Here is a 5,575-nt window from a genome sequence, read left to right as displayed (position 1 = left end):
TTCTATGCATCATAGAATTGGGTTTGTGAGGCACTTTTGAAAACTTTCTTTTAATAGGTGAATCAACTCCGTTTATACTCACTGATGTGACTGGTATATTTGGTCTCAAATATGTAATCTTTTCTAATGTTATCTTTAGCATGCGTATGACATTGTGTATTTACTGTGTTTTTCTCTATATGTGATCTGTTTCATTGGATTATTTCTATCCCTTTTAGAAGTTAAAAAAAAAAATAAAAAAAATTGGCAAGTGGTACTGGTAAATGAAAAAATAAATAAAAATTTTTTTTTAGAGATGGGTCTTGCTGTGTTGCTCAGGCCGGTCTCCAACTCCTGGCCTCAAGTGATCCTCCCACATCAGCCTCCCTGGTAGCTGGGATCCTCCTGCCTCAGACTCCCTGGAACTGCCACACCTGGCTTTTTACATTCTTTAATCGCTTTGTTAAATTGAGATGAAATTCACATAACATAAACTTAACCATCTTAGGAGGGTGATGTCAGCAAGGTGACATAGTAGGAGATACCAGCCTTCATCTCCTCACAAAGGGCAACAATTAAGCAGCTATCCACAAATGAAAAAAGCCTTTGGAGGGCTCAAGGGTCCAATTAAGAATGTGCCCAGCAACACAGTGGAACAATGGATGGATAATGACCCCCGCTAAAGGATCACTGGAGAGACAGCCTAGCTGTGGCACATCGAGATGGCTAGGAACAAAGAAATTGGGAAGGGCCATCATTCAGCTATGCAGTCGGTTCTGTCACAGCCCCCAGTGGCCTGCTCTTCAGAGAACAGCAGAAGCTTTTGCCACTGATGTAACCAACAGCCATCACTGCCATGAACCCCTCAGAGAAGGAGATGCTGCTCTTTACCTTCCCACAGAAATTAGACACTGTTGTGCCAGTGGGGACCAGGACTGCCACCCACCCCTCCAACCCTCTACCCATCCCAGACCCCAGAGCTGTGGCTGCTCTGTGCACACCATGCTCCAGACCCCACCTCCACCACTGCGACATGAACTCCTGTGCCTCAGACGTCAGAGACAATGCCACAGCAAGCACGCCCCAGTCCCTGGAGCCCCTGGCCCCATGACAGCTCCATGAACACCTGCACGACAGACACTGGAGCCACCACTCCAACAGGCATGTCCCTGGAGCAGCAGTAGCCCTGCTCATACCTGCACTCCAGAGTCCAACTCCACAGCCACTGTAAGAGTACCCACACCTTGCATACCATTGCCAATGAGGCAGTGAGGGCTCCTGCACCCAAGATGCTAGTGCCACCGCCACAGCAAAGCTTGGAGCTGTCGTCCCCTTACACATGCATGCACTCACGATTCCAGCTCCATGGCCATTCCACAGGCACCACTCATTGACACCAATGCCACTGCTGCTGCCATAAAAAGATTTTCCTCCAAGATCAGGAACAAGACAAGGATGCCCACTCTTACCACTTCCATTCAACAAAGTAGTGGAAGTCCTAGCCAGACGAAACTGACAAGATAAAGAAATAAAAGGGATCCAAATAGGAAAGTAGAATTTAATTTTTTTTTTTGCAGATGATATAATCTTAGGTATAGAAAACCCTAAAGACCATCATAAAACTGTTAGAATTAATAAATAAATTCAGTAAAGTTGCAGGATGCAAAAGCAACATACAAAAAATCAGTTGTGTTTCTATTCACTAAAAACAAACTATCTGAAACAGAAATTTAAAAAAACTATCCAATTTACAATAGCATCAAAAAGAGTAAAATACTTAGGAACAAATTAAACCAAGGAAGTGAAAGATCCATACACTAAAACCTGTAAAACATTAGTAAAAGGAATAGAAGAAGACACAAATAAATGGAAGTACATCCTATGTTTATGGATCAGAATAATCAATATTATCAAAATGCCCATAATACCAAAGCAATCTGCAGATTCAATGCAATCCACAGATTCAATGCAATCCCCATCAAAATTCCAAAAAAGCCACAAATATCAACTCTGAATAAGAAGAACAAATCTGGAAGCACCGCATTGCCTGATTTCAAATTATATTACAAAGCAAGAGTAATAAAAACAGTATGATACTGGCATAAAAACAGCCACATAGACCATTGGAACACAATAGAAACATCAGAAGTGAACCCACACGTATAATTAATCCTTAACTAAGGCACCAAGAAGACACAATGGAGAAAGGATAGTCTCTTCCAACTGGTGCTGGGAACACTGGATATCCAAATGCGAAAGAAAAAAAGAAAGAAAAACTGGATCCTTACCTTACGGGCCACACAAAAATTAACTCAAAGTGGATTAAAGACTTTCAGTGTAACAATGTAAAGTACATCAAACTAAAAATATATGCACACCAAGGAAACAGTCAACAAAATAAAAAGGCAATATTTCTTCCACGAAATGGAAGAAAATAGTCACAAACCATGTATATGATAAAGAGTCAATATTGAAAATTTATACAACTCAATAGCATGCAAACAAATAGGACAATTTAAAAATGGGCAAAAGACTTGAATAAACATCCCTCCAAAAAATATATATAAATAGCCAAGAGGTATATGAAAAGGTGCTCAATATTAGTAATCATCAGGAAAATGCAAATCACAACCACAGTGAGATATAACCTTACTCTAGTTGTAATGGCCATTATCAAAATGTCAAAAGGTAACAAGTGTTGATGAGGATGTGGAGAAAAGGGATCCTTTATACCTTGTCATGGGAAACACTATGAAGTTTCTCAAAAAATGAAAAACAGAATTACCATTTGATCCAGGAATCCCACTACAGAGTATCTATCCAAAGGAAATGAAATTGGTTTGTTAAAGAGTTATCTGTACTCCCAAGTTCACTGCGGCATTATTCACAATAGCCGAGAGATGGAATCAACTTAGGTGTCCCTGGATAAAGAAAGAAATTGTGATGTCTACACACACACACACACACTCACACACACACAGGAATAATCAACTTAAAAAAAAGCAGTGTGGGTGCCAGGTGCAGTGGCTCATGCCTGCAATCCCAGCACTTTGGGAGGCTGAAGTGGACGGATCACTTGAGGTAACAAGTTCGAGACCAGCCTGGCCAACATGGTGAAACCTCATCTCTACTAAAATACAAAAATTAGCCGGGCATGGTGGTGCATGCCTGTAAACCCAGCTACTCGGAAGGCTGAGGCACGGGAATTGCTTGAACCCGGGAGGTGGAGGTTGCAGTGAGACGAGATTGTGCCACTGTACTCCAGCCTGGGTGACAGAGTAACACTCCATCTCAAAAAAAAAAAAAAAAAAAAAGAATCCTGTCATTTGCAACAATGTGGATAAACCTGGAGGACATTACTTTAAGTGAAATAAGCCAGATACAGAAATACAAATACACATGCTCTCACTTTCATATGAAATGTAGTAATGTAGAACTCAAGGAAGCAGAGTAGCAGAGCAGTTATTCCAGGGGCTGGGAGGTAGGAAAAATGGGGAGATGTTGGCTAAAGGGTACAATCTTGGAGTTATGAGATGAATACGTTCTGAAGATCTCATGTACATTGCGATGGCTGTGGTTAATAATGTATATGTAAAATTTGCAGAGATGGTGGAACTGATGTATTCTCACTACAGAAAAAAAGGTAACTATGTGAGGTGATGGAAATGTTAATTAGCTTGATGGAAATCATTTCACAATGTACACGTATATCAAAACATCACTTTGTATACATTACATATTTATATATTTTACTTGTCAGTTATACCTCCATCAACAAAACTGAAAAAAAAAAACTAACCATTTTAAAGTGAACGATTGGGTGGTATTTAATCCATTCACCATGCTGTGCAACCACCACCTCTATCTCATTCCAAAACATTTTTTATCACCCAGAGAGAAAACCTTGTACCTATTAAGCAGTTGACCCCCATTTTCTTCTTTCCCTCAGCCCCCTGGCAACCGCCAGTCTGCAATCTGTCTCTATAGATCTTCCGTTGCTTTTCTGAGTGTGTGGTAAAATATATATAACGCAAAATTTGCCATTTTAAACCATTAAGTGTACAATTCAGTGGCATTGATTACGTTTGCAATGTTGTGCAACCATCACTATTATTTCCAAATCTTTTTCATAATCCCAAACAGAAACTCTATACCCATTAAGCAATAATTCCCCATTCTCTCCTCCCCCCACTTCCTAGTAACTTCTATTCTACTTTCCTTCTCTATTAATTTGCTTGTTCTAGATACATCATAGAAATGGGATCATACAATATTTGTCCCTTTGTGTCTGGCTTATTTCATTTTGCACAGTGTCTTCAAGGTTCATCCATGTGTAGCCTTTATCAGAACTTCATTTCTTTTTATGGTGAAATATACCATGTGTACACACCATATGTTGTTCAGCATTCATCTGGTGATGGATACTTGAGTTTTTTCCACTTTGGGGCTATTGTGAATAATGCTGCTGCTATGAACATTCTCATACAAGTATCTGTTTGAGTCCCAGTTTTCAATTATTTTGGGTATATATCTAAAAGTAGAATTGTTGGATCATATGGTCATTCTATGTTTAACTTTTTAAGGAACTGCCAGACTGTTTTATACAATGGCTGCACCATTTTACATTCCCCCCAGCAATGTATGAGGCTTCCAGTTTCTCCACATTCTTGCCAACACTTGTTATTTTCTGTGTTCTTGATTACAGCCATCCTAGTAGGTGTGAGGTGTAATCTCGTTATGGTTTTGATTTGCATTTCTCTAAGAACTAATAATGTTGAGCATCTTTTCATGTGCTTATTGGCTATTTCTATAAGTTCTTTGGATAAATTTCTATTCAAATCTTTTATTTTGTTTTTTGTGTTTTTGTTGTTGAGTTGTAGGAATTCTTTATATATCCTGAGTATTAAACCTTTATCCCTTAATCAGATATATAATTTGCAAAAAAACATTTCTCCTATTCAGTGGGTTGTCTTTTCACTCTCTAGAAAATGCATATTTATTTTTATATTTATGGCATTTTTTATTTTATTCTACTACTGTTCTTTATAAAGATAAGTCACCCCTCCCCTTTCCTTACTTGCACATATTCTATGTGAATTGTCAGTTGTAAATCAAATCTTTTAATTCTATTTTCTATTTGGCAATTACTAAACTTATTTTACACTGACTTTCCTCTCTCTCCTCCCAGGTTTTCGGCTTTGTTGTTTCTTTGAATATGTATGTAAGTTTCATATTGTTTCTCCATTCTTGTCTTTATGCTTGTCTTAGTCTTTAAAGATTAATAAATTCAGTGCTCACTAAGAGATGTTTTGTTAACGTTTCCATGACTTTCTCTTGGTTGGATAAAGCTCATATTCAACTAAATTTCTTAGGTGGGGCTCCCAAATGTTGTACTATGTCTTGCATTTTCAAAACTTTTTCTTTACCTTTAATATTGGAAGGACAGTTTGGCTAAATATAAAATCCTTGGCTCACATTTTCATGAGTTTAAAAAAAAATCTTTTACTTTTGTTTTGCTTTGGATGTTGCTGTCAGGCTATCTAATGCCAAGCTGATTTCCTTTTTTATAACAGCTTGGGTTTTAACCTTGAGAACT

General features: G+C 38.3%; 1 annotated feature.

The window, feature by feature from the left end:
• Nucleotides 489-1,041: an enhancer, noted in NCBI's record as "H3K27ac-H3K4me1 hESC enhancer chr8:18372869-18373421 (GRCh37/hg19 assembly coordinates)". NCBI's record gives its function as "activates a minimal SCP1, AML or CMV promoter by ChIP-STARR-seq in primed H9 embryonic stem cells {active_cell/tissue: H9 hESC(primed)}" and the evidence as "EXISTENCE:reporter gene assay evidence [ECO:0000049][PMID:30033119]".

Source organism: Homo sapiens, chromosome 8 (genome assembly GCF_000001405.40).
Source record: "Homo sapiens chromosome 8, GRCh38.p14 Primary Assembly".
Taxonomy (NCBI): domain Eukaryota; kingdom Metazoa; phylum Chordata; class Mammalia; order Primates; family Hominidae; genus Homo; species Homo sapiens.
Note: the sequence above shows the minus strand (reverse complement) of the source record. Positions and strands in the feature narration are given on the sequence as shown.